Below are 22,554 nucleotides of genomic sequence, written 5' to 3'. Positions count from 1 at the left end.
CTGAAAACCTGATGAAGAATAGGATATTTACAGTTTCAAACACAAAAAAAAGAGTAACTTCACAGCGAAGTCTAAAGAGAAGTGCCTTAATCAAGTGATCAGAGTGACCACGACCAGTAATGGAACTAATCAAGTGATCAGAGGGACCACGACCAGTAATGGAACTAATCAAGTGATCAGAGCGACCACGACCAGTAATGGAACTAATCAAGTGATCAGAGTGACCATGACCAGTAATGGAACTAATCAAGTGATCAGAGGGACCATGACCAGTAATGGAACTAATCAAGTGATCAGAGGGACCACGACCAGTAATGGAGCAAACAGAAACATGTGGCACCTGACGGTGCAATGAGAAGAATGCAGCCTCACTTCAGCAACGCTCCTGCCAGAGACACGTGACCTGAGTCAACTCATGAGAAGATACCTGAGAAACCCAAACCCAGAGACACGCTACCAAAAAAACTTGCAGTATTTTAAAATGTCAAGGTCACAAAAGCCAAGGGAAGTCTGAGAAACTGTCCCAGAATGAAGGAGATCAGAGAGACAGGACAGGCCTGGCACAGTGGCTCATGCCTGTAACCCCAACACTTTGGGAGGCCAAGGCAGGAGGATGGCTCAAGACCAGTCTGGGCAGCATAGTTAAGATCCCCATCTCTACCAAAAATAAAAAGTTAAAAAAAAAAAAAAAAAAGCCAGGTGAGGAGGCTCACACCTGTAATCCCAACACTTTGGGAGGCTTTGAGAGGCCTACGTGGGAGGATTGCTTGAGGCCAGGAGTTTGAGACCAGCCTGGGCAACACAGCAAGACCCCATCTCCTTAAGAAAAAAAGAAAGTTTAAAAAAAGAGAGAGACATGACAACTAAATCCAACACGCAATGCTAAATTACATTCTTTGCTTTGACCATACTAGGACAACTGGTGAAACCTGAATGAGATTCAAGGCTCAGGACATAGTAATGTATCTACATTCATTTCCTGACTGATGGTCATGTGATGGCAATATAAGACAATGTCCCTGATTTCAGGAACTATACACACTACACGTGGTTGAAGAGATAAGGCATCAGGTTAACAACTTATTATCAAATGGTTCAGGAGAAAAACATTCTTTCTACCATATCTCCAACTCTGCTGTTAGTCCGTCATTGCTAAAAGGTGATGGTGACATTTACTCACTGTTTCAGGGTCTTCAAGGGATTCATCCAGTTCTGCATAGGACACGATGGTGTACCCTTTGCAGACTCTCCACAACATTTTTTCAAATGCTTCCACTTTTCCTTGGTTAATTAGGCCAGACACAAATCTGTGAGACAGTAAAGTCAACCTGTAGTCAACTGAAAGCAATAAATGTTATCAAACTACATTAAGAATGATGAAGACTTCATTTCTACCAAGTGGTGAAGACATCCTGAGAGCCCTCCAACTGCAAAACATCTCAGGTGCTGGTCAGAATATTTTTGAAACTTCTTTTTAAAGGTAGAGATGAGCTTGTAATAAAGAGAAATTCTTGGCTGGGCACAGTGGCTCATGCCTGTAATCCCAGCACTTTGGGAGGCCGAGGCGGGTGGATCACAAGGTCAGGAGTTCAAAACCAGCCTGTCCAAGATGCTGAAACCCTGTCTCTACTAAAAATACAAAAATTAGCCAGGCGTGGTGGCAGGCACCCATAATCCCAGCTACTCGGGAGGCTGAGGCAGGAGAATCGCTTGAACCTGGGAGGCGGAGGTTGCTAGAGGGCCACTGCACTCTAGCCTGGGCGACAGAACAAGACTCTGCCTCAAAAAAAAAAAAAAGAGAGAAATTCTTGGAATCCAAAGGGAAAACAGGACCTCACAGCTGTCCTGATTATTACACTGAACCCCGTATCTTAAGAACTTGAGTTTAAGGCCAGCATGGGATGCAGGAGCCAGGCACTGGGTCTAGATAAGGTGAGCAGATACAACTGACTCACCTCTCCAGCTGGGACTGCTCCATGCACAAAGAGCTACACCCTCAGTGAAGGGATGGACCAGAAAAAAAATCTACCTTGCAAAGGAGCCTGGAGCCTGCATGTAAACTTGTTTATTTCTATTTTGGTTCTAGATGGAGGGAGAAGTCTTCCCTAAGAATTTATAACCACAGGTTAAAATTCACTCAGGTTTGAGGCTTAAATTCACATTCCTGGCACAGTCAAAAAACAAATCAACAAAAAAATCTCAATGCTGAGAAAAATATAAATGATTCCAGGTTGACAGAGCACTCCCAGGTACCTGACAAATGTCAAAACAAATTCTCTCTGGAGGAAAACATCCTCAAACTAAATATCACTGAATTCCTTCAGATCAGGAACTGTGAAATATGAGTTCATAATAATTTTAAAAATCACAAATCGCACGAGGAAACAAATTACCACTAGTTTCAGTAGGCAGCAAGAATAAACAGCAGCAGGAGATCTTTAAAATATGATTAATAAAAAAACTAACCAACTCGGTTTAGCCACCAAGTTTCTACTAGACAGGATTTGATGCCTGAATGACCAATTGTTTTAGGCTTATAGAAGTAACACTGAATCACGTAAATGTTGTTTCTTTCTAGCTCATTATACCAAAAGAAATTTCCATTGTGTTGAGTAAAAAAGTCAATACAGCTGAGTAATTCAGCTCAACAAGTACAGGAATACAGTGTTTCTTAAACAAATATTCACTATGTTTCATTCAACCCTAGGCTTTAAAATGGTCTCCATTCATCCCTTCTATGGAGCTCATCTGCCTTTTACAAGAAGGGCAGTATGAAGCCTGACACCCCAGGCCTTGTCACCTACCCCAGTTTTGCTCCCAGCCTCTGCATACAGCTGTAATCCAACAAAGAATCACTCTCTAAGGAAGGGAATTCTTCATAAGTGGGTTCAAACTAGAAATAAACATATGAAACCAAGTGTGTCTCATTAAAAGTGACACTTTATTTCTCATGTCAAATTTTCAAACAAGTTTATAGGGCATCCTAACTAACTACTTAGATCTGGGTGCAAAGACTTCTGAGGTAACTTAGATTTATAACTCAATCCTCATAAATGAAAAGATAACTTCCCCATCCTTTATTTGTAAGCCAATTGAAGACATTTACATAAAAGACAGTTATAATTTAGTTCATTGCCTTCATCCAAGATAGAGTAACTTTATCAAAGGTCACTATCATATCAAGTGAAACTAAGTTTGGAACAGATGCACTTGTCTCTTCTATACTTAGCTCCATAAGGTGCTACTACATGGACTATTCTTTATTCTTATAATTTTTTTTCTTTTTTTTTTTTTTTAGATACAGGGTACAGGGTCTCACTCTGTCGCCCAGGCTGGAGTGCAGTGGCGCAATCATAGCTCACTGCAGCCTCAAACTTCTGGGCTCAAATGATCCTCTCACCTCAGCCTCCTTGGTAGCTGGGACTACAAGTATGCACCACCACGCTCAGCTAATTTTTTATTTTTTGTATAGACAAGGTCTCATATTAATTCTCACTATGTTCAGGCTGGTCTTGAACTCCTGGGCTCAAGCCATCCTCCAGCTTTGGCCTCCCAAAGTGCTGGGATTACAGGTGTAAGCCACTGTGTCTGACCTAGTCTTAGAAATTATAGATTATTCTTTTACTTCCTTTACTTAGCAATTTGGAAAAAGTAAATTTTAGAGTTCAACATCCTTCATTCAATTTTTTTCTCATGCTCATAAAAATTTTTTTCAACCACAAACTAAACCATCTTATAAATATTTAGTATTGTAATTGCTGAAAACAACCAACACAGGAAATGGCTCTTAAAACTTTATTTAAAGTCATATAATCCAACTGAAAAATAAAACCAAGGTTTAAATTTAATCTCTTAAATCTGGGCGCGGTAGCTCACTCCTGTAATCCCAGCACTTTGGAAGGCCGAGGAAGGTGGATCAACTGGGTCTGGAGTTTGATACCAGCCTGGCCAACATGGTGAAACCCCATCTCTACTAAAAATACAAAAAATTACAGGCGTGGTGGCGGGCGCCTGTAATCCCAGCTATTCGAGAGGCTGAGGCAGGACAATCTCTTGAACCCGGAAGGCGGAGGGTGCAGTGAGCCGAGATTGTGCCACTGCACTCTAGCCTGGGCAACAAGAGCAAAATTCCGTCTCAAAAACAAAATATAAAATTAAATAAATAAATAAATTTAATCTCTTAAAAGAAGCAACATATCTATATGAACTAATAGCAAAATACACAGCCTATGGGAATGAGATTTTTATAAAAAGCTGTTTATAAAAACAGCTGTATTTCCTCACGAGCTGTTCAGTACCTCAACATTGCGTTTCACAAAGGTCTTTGTCACTCTCAGCATGTGAGTGTACTCTATCAGTTCCAGCAAGTTTTTCCTCAGTTTCTCCTTGTTCTTAGTGACTTCTCTCAGTTCAACCTCGAGCTTCTGCAACTGCTCCTAAAACAAAACAATGGTTACTTAAGAGGGTAGTAATTAGTTCCAAGTGTAATTCCAATAATCTTCATGCAGTATACCAAAAACAGTGGGTTTTTTTGTTTTGTTTTTTTCTTTTTTTTTTTTTTGAGATGGAGTCTCCCTCTGTCGCCCAGGCTGGAGTGCAGTGGCATGATCTCGGCTCACTGCAACCTCCACCTCCTGGGTTCAAGCGATTCTCTTGCCTCAGCCTCCCCGAGTAGCTGGGACTACAGGTGCGCATCACCACGCCCAGCTAATTTTTTTTTGTATTGTTAGTAGAGACGAGGTTTCACCATGTTGGCCAGGCTGGTCTTGAACTCTTGACCTCAGGTAATCCACCCGCCTCGGCCTCCCTGTCTCTACTAAGAATACAAAAAAATTAGCTGGGCATGGTGGCATGTGCCTGTAATCCCAGCTACTCAGGAGGCTGAGGCAGAAGAATCACGTGAACCCAGGAGATGGAGGTTGCAGTGAGCCAAGATCGTGTCACTGCACTCCAGCTTGGGTGACAGAGCAAGACTCCTTCTCAAAGTAAATAAATAAATAGGCTCATTTATTGTTTCATATTAATTCAGGTAATTTCTGTGAAGTTCACACCACATATTAGCTAAAACATTCCGAAGGCTGTGATGAGCGTGAGACCCCCAAGACTGGCCCTCGTCTCTAACCACAGGTGCTGTCATTTCTCGGATTTCCTTTGTCTGCTTATTCATATCACACATCAAAGACTCTTCCTCTTTAAGTCTACATTTCCTTTTTTTGCAACACAGAATATATTTAGATAATCTTTTCTAACTTATTTTCCTAGTCTCTAGCATATGAGTTACTATGCACTCACATTTACACAATTAATTGAGGATAAAAATTCATGACAATTGGCCAGGCGTGGTGGCTCACGCCTGTAATCCCAGCACTTTGGGAAGCCAAGGTGGGTGGATCACGAGGTCAGGAGTTCGAGACCAGCCTGGCCAAGATGGTAAAACCCCATCTCTACTAAAAATACAAAAATTAGCCAGGCATGGTGGCACGTGCCTATAATCCCAGCTACTTGGGAGGCTGAGGCAGGAGAATTGCTTGAACCCGGGAGGCACAGGCTGCAGTGAGCCGAGATCGCACCACTACATGCACTCTAGCCTGGGCGACAGAGCAAGACTCTGTCTCAAAAAAAAAAAAAAATTCATGAGAATCTTTAATAATTAGTTACATACTAAACATCCTTAAAAATACTTAAGTATTAAAATAACAGAAGCAAAAATCCGTAAGGCAAATCATTGAGTCAATGAAAACTTGTATTCAAACAAATCACTTAATATACTATATTCATTACTTCTGCTTTGCCTTACAAGCACTGTACACAGTCATCACTATGTTTGTAATTACATCACAAGCGACCCATCGAACAGGCCAATCCAGATGACTGCTGTTACTCATCTGGTTGGAGAGTTCTCTCTGGAGTCTCCTGCACCAAGTAATGAAAGACTTCCTCCCGAATAAACAAACAGAGGAGCCCGCAACTGAATGGCTTCAGTTACACAACGATAATTGTTTTAGAAGAGTTATCAAGAGCTCCAGCCTACTTCACAGGGTGAGGAACGAATTCACCGAGGATGCTAATAAGCAGCACAGGTGAGTGTTCTCACCGGGGACACATGTATCCCCAGCACACCAGCCAGGGAACTCAGGGTGACAGAACGCTGCTTGCTGCCCACCCGAGACAACCCATGGACTGCATACCAGCTTCCAAAATTTAGAGGGGAAGGGCCAGGGTAAATGTGGGAGGACTGTGAAGGCACAACACCGAAGCCTCAATTCCTTGCACAAGAAGAGGCAGCTAAGGCATGGGTGACCCTGGGATGAGCTTTCTGAAACAGTACAGGATCATGAACTGTTCTGATCCATCAATCAGGCTTGATGGCCTGATTCTTGTTGCCTCTGTTCACCACCACCTGGAAAGGAAGCATATGCCTTACACTGTAAAAGAAAACTGAATTACTGTTAAAATTTAACACAGATAATCTATTACTGAGGGTTAATCATAATAGCGGTCTTTAATCTCTCTGCCTAGAGAGATCACCATCTTCCATAGTTTTGAGAAGAAAGGCAGAAAAGCATTAGACAACATGAAATAAGTAAGTAAGCAGCCCCCAAGATCAATGGCTGCAACCAGCTTCGTCAGAAGCAAGTTACCTGCATTTCTAGAACCTGTTTCAGGGGTGGCGCAGGAGGGCTGGCCTCTCCTTCAGGAAGGGGAATATCAGCTCTATTAATTTCCTGTACCAAATACACTGTGAAAATAAAAGTTAAACAATTAGATACTAAAATGTACTATAATACATTTCAGTCAGAAACATTTTAAAGCCCAATGTTTCCCAAGCCATCTAAAAATCAATGTCTAAATGCACAAAAATCTTGCTTGTCCCAACTGACTTACTGGTCACTTTTTGCAACCTTGTTTCCAAAAATAATGCTGCCTAGAGAGATCTGCATGCAGTGACAAAATAAACAACAACCTCTTCTATTTCTTAGTGACTTAAAAAATAAATAAATAGAATGAACAACAACCTGGATAAACCTTTTCTGAAATTCCACCCATTTTTTTCATTTCTAATATTCTAGTGAAAGAACTTTTGAGTCGCAGCCATCTACAGGGGCAGAATGAAGCAGAGGTTAGGGGCGCACTTGGAAGTGCAGGAATTACCCAAGTGATAGACCTACAATAGCCCCTATGGGAGCTGGCAACATGATTTCTCGCAGATGCCCTCAGAAAGAAAAGGGCATCCATCAGTCCAACAAGAAAATCACAACCACTACCAGGAAACCCACCCAGCACCAAGAGCCAGGCTCTCTTGCAGCTCCCAGTCAGCCCTGAGGCTGTGGCTGAGGACAACCTGCACTGTTTCACCACTGAAGTTAAAAACTAGATTCAGAAGCCTGGCTGGGTCTTGCAATTGCTGCCCTCGGCAGCCTGGGGGGCAAGTGTCAGGGCAGCCCTAGAAATGGGCAAGTTCATGAAACCTGGGAAAATGGTGCCAGTCGTGGCCGGACACTACTCTGGACACAAAGCCAATCCTCATGAAGAAAACTGATGATGGCACCTCAGACCACACCTGCAGCCACCCTCTGGTGGCTAAAAAAGACCATTATTCCCACAGTGACAGCTGCCATGGGCAAGAAGATTGCCAAGAGGTCAAAGGTCAAGTCTTTTGTGAAGGTTTATAACTATAATGACCTCATGCCCACAGAGTACCCTGTGACCATCCCCTTAGACAAAACCACCAGGTTTTCAGAGACCCTGCTCTTAAATGCAAGGCCCAGTGGGAGGCCAAGATCAAGTTCAAAGAGTGGAACAAGACTGGCAAGAACAAGTGGTTCTTCCAGAAGCTGTGGTTTTAGATGTTTTTTGTTTCAGTCATTAAAACAAAACAAAACAAAACAAAACAAAACACCTAGATTCATGAAACTAATAGTACACCAGCCAAAACTAACTACTTTATTTGGTTTATGTTTTCGATTCCATGAAGCATCCCTTTCCTTAGGCTAAAAGTCACAATATCTGTTAGTCATTATCAGGCCTAATATTTAGAAGTGTTACTAACTGGTTTACAGAGGGAGAGAGGCAGGTAAAGAAGTAAGGAGGAAAAACAAAAAGAAAAAGAAAAGAAACTGTCTTACCAAGATAGCAAAGGAAGCACTGGGTCTAAGAGGTTTCTAGAAATGAACGCAAATTGTTTTAACCAATTTATACTTCAATTTATTCTTTTTTTTTTTAAGAGACAGGGGTCTCACTATGTTGCCCACGCTAGCCTTGAACTCCTGGGCTCAAGAAAGCCTCCTGCCTCTACCTTCAGAGTAACTGAGACTATAGGTATGTGCACCACCATGCCTGGCGTACACCTAAATTTCCTTGAGAGGTCCTTTTTCACTGTTTTAAGTCTGCATTCTTATGGGGTCATACCCTGCTGCCCAGGCTGGAGTACAGTGGTGTGTCATCCTGGCCCACAATAACCTCAAACTCCTGGGCTCAAGCAATTCTCCCACCTCAGCCTCCTGAGTAGCTAAGACTACAGGCACATGTCACCATGCCTGGCTAATTTTATTTTTTGTGGAGACAGGGTCTCAGTATGTTGCCCAGACTGCTCTCAAACTCCTGGACTCAAGTGATCCTCCCACCTTGGCCTCCCAAAGTGCTGGAATTATAGGCGTGAGCCATCGTGCCCAGCCCTGCATTCTTTTGAAACAGTTTAAGCTACAGGAAGTCCTGGATATACCTAATGTGTTATCACATTTGCCCTGCCTTTAAAAACCTTATTCTGAATACACCATCTATCCAATGACTCACCCAGGTTGCAAAGACAGGAATATGGTGCCACTAACGTACATGAACCACACAAATAACTAGGACCTCAAGCAATATGAATAGGACTAGATTTCAAATGACTAAAATTTCCTGTTACACTTAAAAATCCCCAATTTAAAAAAAATAGGCCGGGTGTGGTGGCTCACATCTGTAATCCCAGACCTTTGGGAGGCCGAAGCCAGTGGATCACCTGAGGTCAGGAGTGTAAGGTCAGCCGAGAGAAAGGAAGAATAGACCCAAAGTCAGGTGAGTAAGTTTATTGAACCTGCCGGCTGCTCCACGACAGAGGAGGCAGCCCTGAACTTACAAAATGAGGGGTTTATACGGGGGAGAGAGACCCTGGGGTCGTTTGTTGGTTAACTTTGCCATGTATCACCTTGTGACCTTTACAGTAGCAGCTAAATGAAGGAACTTACAGGAGGCCGTAGGCAAAGTTTGTTTAGGCTTCCCACAACCTCCCCCTGTGTGGTCCGGATGGTTTATAATTGTGTTTTGCTTATCGCAGGAAGGCCTGATAAGTGAAGTTTGCTGGCTTCACTGGGGCACCTAGATAAGGGCTTAGAAATGTTAAAGGGGCTCAGGGGGAGGGGTAGGCAGCACGGAGAGCTTTGGGGGAAGTGTTGGCAGTACCAAGAAGCTTTTTTGGGGCGGTTTGTCCCTAACAAGGAGTTCAAGACCAGCCTGGCCAACATGGTAAAACCCCATCTCTACTAAAAGTACAAAAATTAGCCAGGTGTGGTGGCACGCACCTATAGTCCCAGCTACTAGGGCGGCTGAAGCAGGAGAATCGCTGGAACCCAGGAGGCGGAGTCTGCAGTGAGCCAAGATCATGCCACTGCACTCCAGCCTAGGTGACAAAGCAAGACTCCATCTCAAAAAAAAAAAAAAACAAGCTTTGTCCTTCAGTTGACTGTCTGTCATTTTCCCTCCACTTCAGTGAGAATGTCAAGGCTTGATTTGATAATGACTAGTACCAGACTAAGATGGTAAAGACTTTAGAGATAAAAGAAGTGGCCCTGGGCTGCTTAGTTGAAATGGTTAACAATCAGCACTGATCTAACACACTGGCAAAGGAAGCCCTGAGAAAAAGGAAATTATTGTCAATCACTCTATCTTCCATTTCCCGCCTCCCTTGTTCCTTGAAAAAATTTTAAATTAAGTAACTTATTAACAAGTACAATGTTTTTAAGTTATAATAAACTACAAGGGATCGGTTAAATAAGCCACAGCACATTAATATTAATACAATCAAATAGTATGCTGCCATCAAAAACGATGATGGGTAAATATCTATGTCTACTGACACGAAAAGATGTTATAGTAAGCACTGTTAAGTAAAAAACAAGGGTAACAACAAAATAACCAGGCCATTATGTTTGTAAATTTTTACTTTTATAGATGAATAAAAAAATACAGAAAAATAATACATGCCTACATAACTGTGATTACTTCTGAATGAGAATACAATTTCTTTTTTTCCTTTCTGCTTGTCTATATTTTCCAATATTTTTAAACCGAACAAGGTTTGCCTATATAAAGGTAATTATTTAAGTTGTTAAATCAGAAAATAAACTTACCCAATATTCGCTCTAGCTCTTCACACCTCTTCACCTCACCAACAAATTTTCTTTGGAAAGAACTTACGTTCTGGTTGAGCTGAGAAAAGGATGAAAAATATGGTTTAAATTTCTAAAATTTAAAAATACTTTTATGTAAAAAATAAAACATCACCAAAGTTTGGGGGATGTACACTCTTGTATACTATTGAATGAAACTATAAACTGACACAACTTTTCTTGAGAGCAATTTGTCAACTGTTACCAAAAAAGCCTGAAAATCCAGCCGGGCCAACACGGTGAAACCCCAACCCTGCTAAAAATACAAAAATTAGGCCGGGGCGGTAGCTCACGCCTGTAATCCCAGCACTTTGGGAGGATGAGGCGGGCAGATCACTTGAGGTCGGGAGTTCAAGACCAGCCTGGCCAACATGGTGAAATCCCACCTCTACGAAAACACAAAAATTAGCCAAGCATGATGGCAAGTACCTGTAATCCCAGCTACTCGGGAGGCTGAGGTGGAAAAATTGCTTGAACCCAGGAGGCGGAGGTTGCAGTGAGCCAAGATCGTGCCATTTGCACTCCAACCTGGGCAACAGGGCAAGACACTATCTCAAAAAAAAAAAAAAAATTAGCCAGGCATGGTGGCGCACCTAAGTAATTCCAGCTACTTGGAAGGCTGAGGCACGAGAATTGCTTGAGCCCGAGAGGCAGAGGTTGGATGGAGCTGAGATCACACCACTGCAATCCAGCCCAGGTGACACAGTGAGACCCTGGGTCAAAAAAAGAAAAAATCCTGAAAATGATTATTTGCCCAGCAATACCCCATGAAGAAAATTTAACCTAAGGAAAAAGCTATGGAAACAGATGAAAATCTATGACAACATCAATCTCAGGGAAAAAGAAAAAATGATAACCCAAAAATCCAACAATAGAAAACTAGTTCAAGAAATTACAGTAGCGTAGTTAAAGAAATTATAGCCAGGCACAGCAGCTCGTGTTGATAATCCCAGCAATTTGGGAGGCTGAGGTGGGAGGACTACCTGAGGCCAGTAGTTTGAGGCCAGCCTGGGCAACATGGTAAGACACCATCTCTCCAAAAAATAAAAAATTAGCCAGGCCTGGTGGTGCACGCCTGTGGTCCCAGTTGCTCAGAAGGCTGTGGCAGGAGGATTGCTTGAGCCCAGGAGATCGAGATTGCAGTGAGCAGTGATCACACCACTGCACTCTAGCCTGGGTGACAAAGCAAGAGCCTGTCTCAAAAAAAAAAAAAAAAGAAAGAAAGAAAAGAAAAGAAATTACAGTCTATATCCACACAATGGAATGCTACTTAGCAATAAAAAGGAATGAACTACTGACCCATGCAACAACAGGGATGACTTTCTCTTTTTTTTTTTTTTTTTTTTTTGAGACAGAGTTTCGCTCTGTTGCCCAGGCTGGAACGTACTGGCAGTATCTTGGCTCACTGCAACCTTCGCCTTCCAGGTTCAAGCGATTCTCCTGCCTCAGCCTCCCGAGTAGCTGGGATTACAGCCAAGTGCCACCACCCCCGGCTAATTTTTGTATTTTTAGTAGAGATGGGGTTTCACCATGTTGGCCAGGCTGGTCTCAAACTCCTGACCTCAGATGATTCGCCCACCTCGGCCTCCCAAAATGCTAGGATTACAGGCGTGAGCCACCACGCCCACCCTGGATGACTTTCATACTAAGTGAAAGCAGCCAGACACAAGAAGCCACATACTGTGCGATTCCACTTACATGGAATGTCCAGACAACCCTAGAGGCAGCAAGCAGATTAGTGGGTGCTGGGGGGGTGGGGGTAGGAATAAGGATTAACTGTAAATGAGCATTAAGAATCTTCTGGGGTGATGGAATGTTCTAAAACAATTGTGGCAATGGATGCATGACTCTATAAACTCTTTTTTTTTTTTTTTGAGACAGGATCTCACTGTCGCCTAGGCTGAAGTCCAGTGGCGCAATCTCAGCTCACTGCAACCTCTGCCTCCCAGGTTCAAGCGATCCTCCTGCCTCAGCCTCCTGAGTAGCTGGGATTAAAGGCACGTGCCACCACACCCGGCTAATTTTTGTATTTTGGGTAGAGATGGGGTTTCGCCATGTTGTTCAGGCTGGTCTCAAACTGGTGGGCTCAAGTGATGTGGCTGCCTCAGCCTCCCAAAGTGCCGGGATTACAGGTGTGAGCCACTGCACCCGGCCTCCATAAACTTTCTAAAAATCATGGGTAAACTCTACCATACACCTCAATAAAGTTGTGTAAAAATGACCAGGTATTTGATTATATTAAGAAATGTTATTTAAATTTTCAGGTACAATGTTGGTAATAATTTTTTATCTTCTAGGCCAGGCCTGGTGGCTCATGCTTGTAATCCCAGCACTCTGGGGGGCCAAGGTGGGGGGATGACTTGAGGTCAGGAGTTGGAGACCAGCCTGGCCAACATGGTGAAACCCCGTCTCTACTAAAAATACAAAAATTAGCCAGGCGTGGTGGCGCGCGCCTGTGATCTCAGCTGCTCAGGAGGCTGAGGCATGAGAATCACTTGAACCTGGGAGGCAGAGGTTGCAATGAGCTGAGATCGCGCCACTGCACTCCATCCTGGGCGACAGAATTGAGACTCCATCTCAAAAAAAAAAAAGAAAAAAAATTCATCTTTTAGAGGTACTTGTTGAAAAGTTAAATTATATATCTTGGATTTGCTTCAAAATGATCTAGTCTGGGAAGTGAGAAAAAACTAAGTTTACATTTATGGGTACATGGGGGTACACTGTACTCTTCCCTCTACTTATAATATAAAGTTTAAAACAATTTTAAAAAGTTGTAAAAGAATATTTAATAAAATTAGGAAGTTAGTCATGATTTCTGTGTAAAGCAGATTAGGATGTTTTCAGTGTGGTTCAAATTATATAAAAATACATATATATGGACATTTTTAAACATTATTAGAGAAATGCTGATTGTCCAGTATTAGCCAAAAAGTTAAAGTTAATTTCTAGGCGTTGGGATCATGCAAGGTATGTTACTATTCTTATGTTTTCCACATTTCTCACAATGGTCATCTATCACTTTCATACTTCAACAATTTACAGTATATCATTCATGTTGAAAGCCATTTAAGACACGAAATTTATCTTTATTCCATCCAGGATTTGTACTGGGCACTCTCAAGAAACAGTTAAGATACAACTTGACATGAAACTGCTCAACCTGGTAAGTGTCTACTCAGTGTCTGACTCAGTTCTTGTTCATTTTTTGGGGACTTTTTTTTTAAAAGAACCAGAAAAAAGGTAAAAATTCTCATTTCACTTCTGTTTGTCACCTTCTCATTCATTTCTGGAGGTCGAACTAAAAGTAACCACTTCCAAGTTACTAATGATTCAGACACAATCTAGTTCTATGGAACTTGTTGGAAAGGAAGTTCTGTGTCTAAAGCTGTCACAGGATACTACTTCTCAGCTTTCATTTTCTTCCTTCAATATCAAATAGTACTTAACTCTAAATGGGCATGATGTTTCTACAAATAGTAGAATCTTTATTTATAAAGAGGTAAATTTCTGTGGCAATAATACAAACATGGATTTCACATACATACACCACCATCACCAGCTTACATATATTAACTTTTTTTTGAGACGGAGTCTCGCTCTGTTGCCAGGCTGGAGTGCAGTGGCGCGATCTCAGCTCACTGCAACCTCTGCCTCCTGGGTTCAAGTGATTCTCCTGCCTCAGCCTTCTGAGAGTAGCTAGGACTACAGGCACACCCCGCCATGCCCAGCTAATTTTTGTATTTTTAGTAGAGACAGGGTTTCACCATGTTGGCCAGGATGGTCTCGAACTCTTGGCCTTGTGATCTGCCCGCCTTGGCCTCCGAAAGTGCTGGGATTACAGACGTGAACCACCGTGCCCAGACATATTAACTTTTTTTTTCTATTGTGTGGTTTCTTTTATAAATTTTGGGTTTTTTTTCCCTTTTAGGGCAGCACCCTAATTCAAGGCTAATGGAATAAGGTACATTTTAATGTAGATTCAATTCAAGGCACATTTAACCTAGTAAAACCGGCAGAGGAGATCTGGTGCTGTTTGTTTTGATATTCACAGCCATTGATACTCCCACTTCAGCTGAAGGACTAAAGAGGAAACCTGTTCTTAGACTGAGAACTGTAACAAAAGTGCGAACTTTCCCTTCAGGGAGTCCTCCCCATCAGCTGAATGACCTTTCTTTTCCAGGTACTTCCCACTAGCTGTCACCACGGAAGTCACCACCTGCCCCCCTTTCCCTTGCAAGGGTTACTAACAGTGATCCCATCTGGTCACCACAAAGTCAGTAGGAAACTCAGGCTGAAGACACACTGAAAACCTAGCACCACACAAGAGCTCATCGCAGCAACCTTAGTTTTACTTCCTTCTGGAAAAAGATGAACAGCACTTTCTTCTCCTTTCACTGACATTCAGTTGAAAAGGATCCCAGGTACACTCTATGACTGGAGGTAGTGGCGCTTATTGAAACTGGAACCTTCATAGTGATTAGTACGTTTGCTCAAACCTGTAAGACTGAAGTGTGATAAGTGTCTTGGCTTGAGTACTAACCGGAAGGAAAACATCTACCTGTTACAAATGTAGGAGCCTGCTGCACCTGCAGCTGTTGCCTGAATGTTTTGGGTGCTATTCACAGCTCAGCGCAGCATCCATCAGGTGAATGGGTACAACTGCAGAAGTGGCTCCAGGAACCAGGAACCGCCCTGCATCTTACCTGCACCCTCGCCTGTCACTCAGGAGTCTCTCCATGACTTTGCAACTGCCTTATGGGGCTGATCTGGTATTAGATATCTGATATCAATGGATATCAGATCTCGGGTAGGGCTGATCCCTTTTGAAATTAAGGACACCTTAGGAAGATTAAGGGAAACAGTCAGGAGATGAAAGTGGTGGCCAGGAAATAAAATGTTCGCCTGAGTGGATTTCAATTCAGTCAGTAAGTACTTGCTTCACGGTCTCCCTTCCACACCCTGTTCTTTGCCTTCTTAGCACTTATCACAGCTCATAATCAGAGTGTGTTTAATCTGTCTCCTCCCACACTGGAAGCTCCAGGAACACAGGGACTGTGTCTGCCTTGCTCACCACCGAGTCTCCAGCACCAAAAACAGTGCCTGAACATAGCGGGCAGTCAAGAAAAGCTTGTCTGTTCATTCAACAAATGCCTATCGATGCCAATGACTGCCAAGGACTGCGTTAAGGTACTTACTCTCAGAGGTTGACAGTCCTTGGTGGAGACAAACAATAAACAAGTAAATGGACAAACAAATGTTTATTATTACTTGTTGGGGAGACAGCTTCCACTCGACAAACAATGACTGAGTTCTTAAGTCCTTACACACAATGGTATGTACAGCATTAAGCATCAGTGACCAAAACACAAAAATCCCTCTCCTCAAGCAGATGACATCCAGCTCCTTCCCATTTCTGGCTCTGTCTGGGCTCCTCCTGTTCCCTCCAACAAGGACCCTCTCCCCAGATCTTCCCCACGGCTGGCTCCTTTCTATTTGGGTCTCAGCTGAAATATCACCTTCTCCGGGAGGCTTCCTCGACAATCCCTTCACACTCACCTCCCGCCCGAATCACCTTCACATCACCCCGTTTCTTCTTTATGGCAAACCTTTTCTGGTTGACCTATTTATTTGGTTAATGCGCCCCCCTAACCCCCGTAAAGTTCCAAAAGGACTCCAAGAGGCCTTTGTGGGATTTGTTCTCCCGCTGAGCTCGGTGCCCGGAGCTGATGAAGACCACACGGGCGATCCTAACTAACTGGGGCAGAGCAGCCGCCGACCACACAGACGGCCGGCGACCCTGGAGTCAGCCCCGCGCTCCGGGAAGCTTTGGCCGCTGAGCTGGGGTGTCATCTTCCCCGTCTGGACAATGGGGACGGGGCGCGCCCTTCCTCGGTGCTCCCCGCGGGAGGGCCCCAGCGATGCGCGGGATTGGGGGCGCCAGGAGAGCAGGTGCGGCCCGCGTCTCCCGGGCGACACTCACGTCTCGGAACTGGACCAGGCCTTTCTCGCCCAGGGCGCTGAGGCACTCGTAGGCCGTGCCCGACTGCAGGAAGAGCTGCGCCAGGCACATGGTCTCGCTCCGGAACAGGGACCCCATGGCGGGCCGACCCGCGCCCGGAGGGGCTCGATGGGCGGCGGCGGCTCCGAGCCGCGCGGGCCCGCACACTCAGCCGGTGCGGCCCGGGCCTCGAGCTCTTCCTGTGGCCTGGCCGCGGCCCCGCACTATGGGGCTCCAGACTGCAGCGGCCGCCCCCGGTTCTGCCACCGCGGCCGCCGCTCCAGCTGCCGCCACAGCAGTCCGCGAGGTCCCGCCCCCAAGCCACTGCCGGTTCCGGTTCCGCCCCCGCGTCCCGCCCCCCCCGCCGGCCGACCAATGGACGCCCGAGGTTGTCGCCGCACGACGTGGCGGCAGGGCCAACCAGCGCGAACCCGGCGGGTACGACCACTGCAGCTGGCGCTCCGCCGGACTGGACGCAGAGCTAAATCCCGCGCGGCTCCCCGGCTTTCCTGGAGGAGTCTCGCCGAGTGTGCACGCCGCGAAGCTCACCCGTTCCTAGTGCACGACCCTGTGCTGCTGCGTGTGTGTGTGTGTGTGTGTGTGAGAGAGAGAGAGAGAGAAACGGAATCTCACGCAGTCCCACAGGCTGGAGTGCAGTAGCGCGATCTCGGCTCACTGCAACCTCCGTCTCCCAGGTTCAAGCGATTCTCCAGCCTCAGACTCCCCAGTTGCTGTGACTACAGACGCGCGCCACCCGCGTCCAGCTAATTTTTTTGTATTTTTAATAGAGACGGGGTTTCACCATGTTGGCCAGGCTGGTCTCAAAACTCCAGAGCTCAGGTGATCCGCCTGCCTCGGCCTCCGCAGTGCTGGGATTACAGGCGTGAACCACTGCGCCCGGCCCTGCTGCTGGTTTTTTATGGATAGGGTTTCCCTCTGTGGCCCAGGGAGGAGTGCAGTAGCACGAGCTCGGCTCGCTGCAACCTTGACCTCCTGAGCTCAAGCGATCCTCCCACCTCAGCCTCTGGAGGAGCTGGGATTACAGACGCGCGCCATCACACCCGGCTAATTTGTTTTTAAAATGTTTATAGAGAAGGGGTTTCATCATGTTGGCCAGGCTGGTCTCGAACTCCTGAACTCAAGCAATCCTCCCGCCTTGGCCTCCCAAAGCGCTAGGATTACAGGCGTGATCCGCCGCCCGGAGGGATCCTAGGCTTCTTCGTGAAGTTGGAGTGTGCAGCCAGCATCCCAATCCAGTTTTCAAACATTTCCCACCGACCTCGCAAGACTCCTCCTGCTCAGTTGCAGTCTCCCCTTCCCGCCCGGCCTGGCCACCACAGGACAATTTTGTCTCGCTAAATTTGCCACCTCCAGGCTTGTCCTGTCGATGGAATCACACAGCACCCAGTGTGTGTTCCCCACACTGACCGGGAAGCAGTGGCCCCCCGCCCCAGGCCGCAACCTCACCGCTGTCCCAGTCGAGTCTCTGCTTACATATCCCCTTCCTTGAGACTGTCCCTGGAGTCACATCCTTGTTCTATTTCCTTCACTGCACCTGCCACCATCTGAAATTATCTTGTCTGTGTGTTAGTGCCAGTCTTCCCTGCTAGAATGGAAGCTCCACCAAGGTGGGGACATTGTTTCTGCCACTGTGGTATCTCCAAGCCCCAGCACATAGTAGCCACTCAATAAATAGTTCATGAATGCATACATAAATGTATAAACTTAAAAAAGTTAAAACCATAGACACTCCAGACCCCATTCTGCCAAACTGAGTTTTTTCCTTCTTTTAAGTACAAAAGGCGTCCTCACAAAGCCCACAAAATCAAGCTAAATTACCTGTCATTTGGAAGTTTTAAATTTATTTTCCATAAATACCTGAAATCCAAAGCTAGTTACACTAGGCTGGGTGCCCTGGCTCACTCCTGTAATCCCTGCACTTTGGGAGGCTGAGGCAGGTGGATCACTTGAGGTCAGGAGTTTGAGACCAGCCTGGCCAACATGGCAAAACCCCGTCTCTACTAAAAAAATATAAAAATTAGCTAGGCGTGGTGGTGGGCACCTGTAGTCCCAGCTACTCGGGAGGCTGAGGCAAGAGAATCGCTTGAACCTGGGAGGTGGAGCTTGCAGTGAGCTGAAATGGCATCCCTGGACTCTAGCCTGGGCAACAGAGTGACACTCTGTTTCAAAAGAAACAACAACAACAAAAAGATACAGTAAGAACTGTGAAGGTGAATTCAAAGGCTGAAGTTCAGACAATAATTGACTCAGACCCCAGCTCCGTCAGTCCAGTACTGACCCAGATTCCTGAGTCAGCCCTAGAGGGGTCGGGTGAAGGCCCAACACCACCACAGTACAGATGCTGAAATTCACGGTATTTCCATCATGCAGAAACTTAGGACCTCTGCAGTGACTAGCTCATCCCCCTATTTGAAAGTGGACTCAGGCCGGGCGCAGTGGCTCATGCCTGTAATCCCAGCACTTTGGGAGGCCGAGGCGGGTGGATCACGAGGTCAGGAGATCGAGACCATCCTGGCTAACACAGTGAAACTCCGTCTCTACTAAAAATACGAAAAATTAGCTGGGCATGGTGGTGGGTGCCTGTAGTCCCAGCTACTCAGGAGGCTGAGGCAGGAGAATGGCGTGAACTCGGGAGGCGGAGCTTGCAGTGAGCAAAGATCACGCCACTGCTCTCCAGCCTGGGCAATAGAGCAAGACTCCGTCTCAAAAAAAAAAAGAAAAAAGAAAATGGACTTAAGACTGGAGGAAAATTTGAAATTGCCCCTGGGCAGGAACTCTGCAGCGAAGATGAAACAGCACATTTTATGTGGTGCTGGGTATCAGCAGGCACTAGGAATTCGATCAAAAAGTATAAAAGGGAAAATAATTATTTTTCAAAATTAGGCTTAAATAACATAGAAAATCCATCTGAAACAACTAAGTTACCTGGCACACAAAGAAAACTTACAGGTGATGTGCCATGTGGCCACTGTAGGACCGTGGCTAAAAACATCTATTCCAGGGCTGGGCACAGCAGCTCATACCTATAATCCCAGCACTTTGGGAGGCTAAGGCAGGTAGATCACTTGAGCCTAAGAGTTCGAGACCAGCCTGGGTAACATAGGGAGACCCCCTTCTCTACAAAAAAAAAAAATACAAAAACTAGCCAGGTACAAGCCTGTGGTCCCAGCTACTTGGGAGGCTAAGGTGGGAGGATCACTTGAGCTCAGGAGGTCGAGGCTGCAGTGAGCCGTAATTGTGCCACTGCTCTCCAGCTCTCCAGCCTGGGTAACAGAGTAAGACCGAGTCTCAAAAAAAAAAAAAAAAAAAAAATCCATTCTCCCCACTGAGTGGGGTTGACTGTTCCCATGTGACGGCCCATGGGAGAAATTTGTCAAGACTCAGCTAGGAAAAACTGTCCTTCATTGATAACCAGTTAATTTTTAATGAATAGATTTCATAATTCCTGTATTAATGAATAGATTTCATAATTCCTATAGCTAATCATACTTGGGTTTTTGTAAACTGGGGTCTTGGTTGGGCATAGTGGCTCCTGCTGGTAATCCCAGCACTTTGGGAGGCTTAGGTGGTAGGATCGCTAAAGCCAGGAGTTTGAGACCAGGCTGGGCAACATAGCGAGACCCCCATCTACTAAAAAAAAAAAAAAAAAAAAAAAAAAAAAAAATAGCCAGGCGTGGTAGCTGTGTGCCACCTGTAGTCCCAGCTACTTGGGGGAGAATCGCTTGATCCCAGGTGTCTGAGTTTACAGTGAGCTATAATCGTGCCACTGCACTCCAGCCTGGGCAACAGAGGGAGAACCTGTCTCCAAAAAACAAATAAATAAATAATGAATTAGGGGCCTGCTTCTGCTAAAGGCAACCTCTGGCATGTATTTTAGGGCTTACATGTGCCCCTGGTTTTGTTTTACTTTTCTCTTATTATTTTCCTCCCGCAGCCCCCATATCTTTCCCCATCAGTGATTTTGTGTTTTTGTATTACATGCATTTTTAAGGATTTCTTAATCCTTTCTACGGAATATGGGAAACATCAATCAACACGAATGTATTAAAAACTAAAGAAAAGACTGATTCTCTCTGGTATAAATAAAACTCCTATGACTTTAACTAATTTGTGATAAGCTAAAATTTCTAACATTTTTGAGTTCTTCTCATGCATTTTACTCAGTTCAGGCCAGCGATGAGAATATTCATTCTGCATTGGATAGCTACATATATGAATTAAAGTCACAGGGCACTTAATAAAAATTTTCTACAAAAATAAGACATTTCATTTATTAAAATTTTATAGAGAAGCATACAAGACTACAACAAATCACTGAAGTCAAGGTCTAAAGTCTTTGAGAAGTCAGATGGACCGGACGCAGTGGCTCACGTCTGTGATCCCAGCACTTTGGGAGGCCGAGGTGGGCAGATCATCTGAGCTCAGGAGTTACAGACCACCCTGGGCAACAAGGCGAAACCCCGTCTTTACCAAAAATACAGCCAGGCATGGTGGAGCATCTGTGGTCCCAGCTACACCAGAGGCTGAGGTGGGAGGATTGCTTGGGAGGCAGAGATTGCAGTGAGCCGAGATTGTGCACTGCACTCCAGCCTGGGTGACAGAGACCCCGCCTCAAAAAAAAAAAAAAAAAAAAAAAGGCCGGGTGCGGTGGCTCATGCCTGTAATCTCAGCACTTTGGGAGGCCAAGATGGGCGGATCATGAGGTCAGGAGTTCGAGAGCAGCCTGGCCAATACGGTGGAACCCTGTCTCTACTAAAAATACAAAATTAGCCGGGCGTGGTGGTGCATGCCTGTAATCCCAGTTCTCCGGAGGCTGAGGCAGGAGAATCGCTTGAACCCAAGAGGAGGAGGTTGTGGTGAGCCGAGATCACTTCAGCCTGGGCAACAAGAGCAAAACTCCATCTCAAAAAAATAAAAGCCAGGTGGTTGTCTAACTATAGGCTTTGCATATTCTGGTCCAGGGGTTGCTGAGGAACAAGGCCAATGTGAGGAACAACAGCAACAGTAAGCCCTTAGCAACACACTGAGAATGCAGCTCCCCTGAAAAACAATGGACAAAATTCAACAGCAGTATTTCTTAACTCTTTTGATAACAGTGTAGGTATAGGCTGGGTGTGGTGGCTCACTCCTGTAATCCTAACACTTTGGGAGGCCAAGGAGGGCGGATCACTTGAGGCCAGTTCGAGACCAGCCTGGCCAGCACAGTGAAACCCCGTCTCTACTAAAAATACAAAAATAGCCAGGCATATTGGTGCTGTAATCCCAGCTACTCCAAAGGCTGAGGCACGAGAGTTGTCTGAACCCAGGAGGCAATGGTTGCAGTGAGCTGAGATTGTGCCACTGCACTCCAGCCAGGGTGTCAGAGCAAGACTCTCTAAAAAAAAAAACAGTGTAGGTAGAAATAAACTAAGCCAAAACAGTAATGGTGATCACTTCCAAGTGGCAATATTATCCGTACTTTTTTTTAAGTTTCTATATGTTTTATGCTTTCTGTAACATTTAGACATCATTTAAAAAATTTTTTTAAATTGACATAACATAATTGGTCATAGAAATCTGTTTCACCCTACCTTGATAATACTGAGTCCATGGATATAGAAGCTGCGGCCAACACACCTCATTTCTGTTGCAGTCATACTCTGTATAATTGATCTGGAATCTAGAAAACATTTTAGAGGGTTACAAAAACTACAAGTGAGAAGTATCAGAACTTGATTAAAGGAATAAACTTCCAATTTTCAAATATATATTTTTCTGCTTCCTAATGTCAACTAGGTGAGCAACTGGAGTACCTTGTCAGGGGGTGGGGTAACTGTGCAGGAATTTTAATAAACTGGACGGATGCACTGATAGGGAGAAGGTCGGCCTTGTGCTCACAGGTAAGCCCACACTGGTACTGCCAGTTCACTGAGGAGAACCTAGGAGGGAAAGATCACATGGTCAGCATAGCCACCATTCAGTTCTATTCCACCAAGAACAGCAGGTAACGGATGCAATCACAATATAACCTGAGGTTCTCCTAAGAAGTTTCGCATTCTACCTGGGCTGTTTTTTCTCAGTATTTGTCCATGGTCTTTGACCATTTCCACAGACAGATCCAAAGAGAAG

At 44.9% G+C, this 22,554-nt stretch overlaps 2 protein-coding genes, 1 long non-coding RNA gene and 1 pseudogene across 10 annotated transcripts in view, besides 2 other annotated features; 2 read left to right on the top strand and 2 right to left on the bottom strand.

The window, feature by feature from the left end:
• Nucleotides 1–16,737, bottom strand: part of ATP6V0A2 (ATPase H+ transporting V0 subunit a2) — a 49,403-nt gene extending 32,666 nt beyond the window's left edge. For 2 of the 3 annotated variants that reach the window (NM_012463.4, XM_024448910.2), the window contains exons 1-6: nt 16,408–16,737; nt 10,389–10,467; nt 6,642–6,739; nt 4,299–4,436; nt 2,805–2,893; nt 1,181–1,307 (exon numbers count right to left, since the gene is read on the bottom strand). In NM_012463.4, coding sequence (NP_036595.2) covers nt 1,181–1,307; nt 2,805–2,893; nt 4,299–4,436; nt 6,642–6,739; nt 10,389–10,467; nt 16,408–16,524 — 648 coding nt within the window. In that variant the 5' untranslated portion in view covers nt 16,525–16,737. Of the gene's footprint in view, nt 1–1,180; nt 1,308–2,804; nt 2,894–4,298; nt 4,437–6,641; nt 6,740–10,388; nt 10,468–16,407 lie in introns of those variants that run through there. The other variant, XM_024448911.2, reaches the window with a different exon arrangement.
• LOC105370042 (uncharacterized) lies at nt 6,000–16,324 on the top strand. 2 transcript variants are annotated; one of them, XR_945477.4, is made up of 3 exons: nt 6,000–6,080; nt 13,527–13,590; nt 14,356–16,324. It is a non-coding gene; the product is annotated as an uncharacterized LOC105370042 (long non-coding RNA). The 2 variants fall into 2 exon arrangements; XR_945478.4 differs by having other exon boundaries at nt 14,608–14,693.
• Nucleotides 7,273–7,453: a silencer, noted in NCBI's record as "fragment chr12:124206184-124206364 (GRCh37/hg19 assembly coordinates)". NCBI's record gives its function as "represses an EF-1alpha promoter that drives an FKBP-Casp9 reporter gene in an ReSE screen in phorbol 12-myristate 13-acetate-treated (for megakaryocytic differentiation) K562 erythroleukemia cells {active_cell/tissue: K562(+PMA)}" and the evidence as "EXISTENCE:reporter gene assay evidence [ECO:0000049][PMID:32094911]".
• RPL27P12 (ribosomal protein L27 pseudogene 12) lies at nt 7,448–7,872 on the top strand (annotated as a pseudogene).
• Nucleotides 16,363–16,912: a silencer, noted in NCBI's record as "silent region_5049". NCBI's record gives its function as "represses an Ori minimal core promoter by ATAC-STARR-seq in GM12878 lymphoblastoid cells {active_cell/tissue: GM12878}" and the evidence as "EXISTENCE:reporter gene assay evidence [ECO:0000049][PMID:35858748]".
• The window catches only part of TCTN2 (tectonic family member 2), a 37,287-nt gene continuing 35,423 nt past the window's right edge, over nt 20,691–22,554 (bottom strand). For all 5 annotated transcript variants that reach the window (NM_024809.5, NM_001410989.1, NM_001143850.3 and 2 more), the window contains 3 exons: nt 22,239–22,364; nt 22,017–22,105; nt 20,691–21,486 (listed from right to left, as the gene is read on the bottom strand). In NM_024809.5, the coding sequence (NP_079085.2) occupies nt 21,377–21,486; nt 22,017–22,105; nt 22,239–22,364 (325 nt within the window). In that variant the 3' untranslated portion in view covers nt 20,691–21,376. The remainder of the gene's footprint in view (nt 21,487–22,016; nt 22,106–22,238; nt 22,365–22,554) is intronic.

Source organism: Homo sapiens, chromosome 12 (genome assembly GCF_000001405.40).
Source record: "Homo sapiens chromosome 12, GRCh38.p14 Primary Assembly".
Classification (NCBI taxonomy): domain Eukaryota; kingdom Metazoa; phylum Chordata; class Mammalia; order Primates; family Hominidae; genus Homo; species Homo sapiens.
This window is presented reverse-complemented; position numbering and strand designations above follow the sequence as displayed.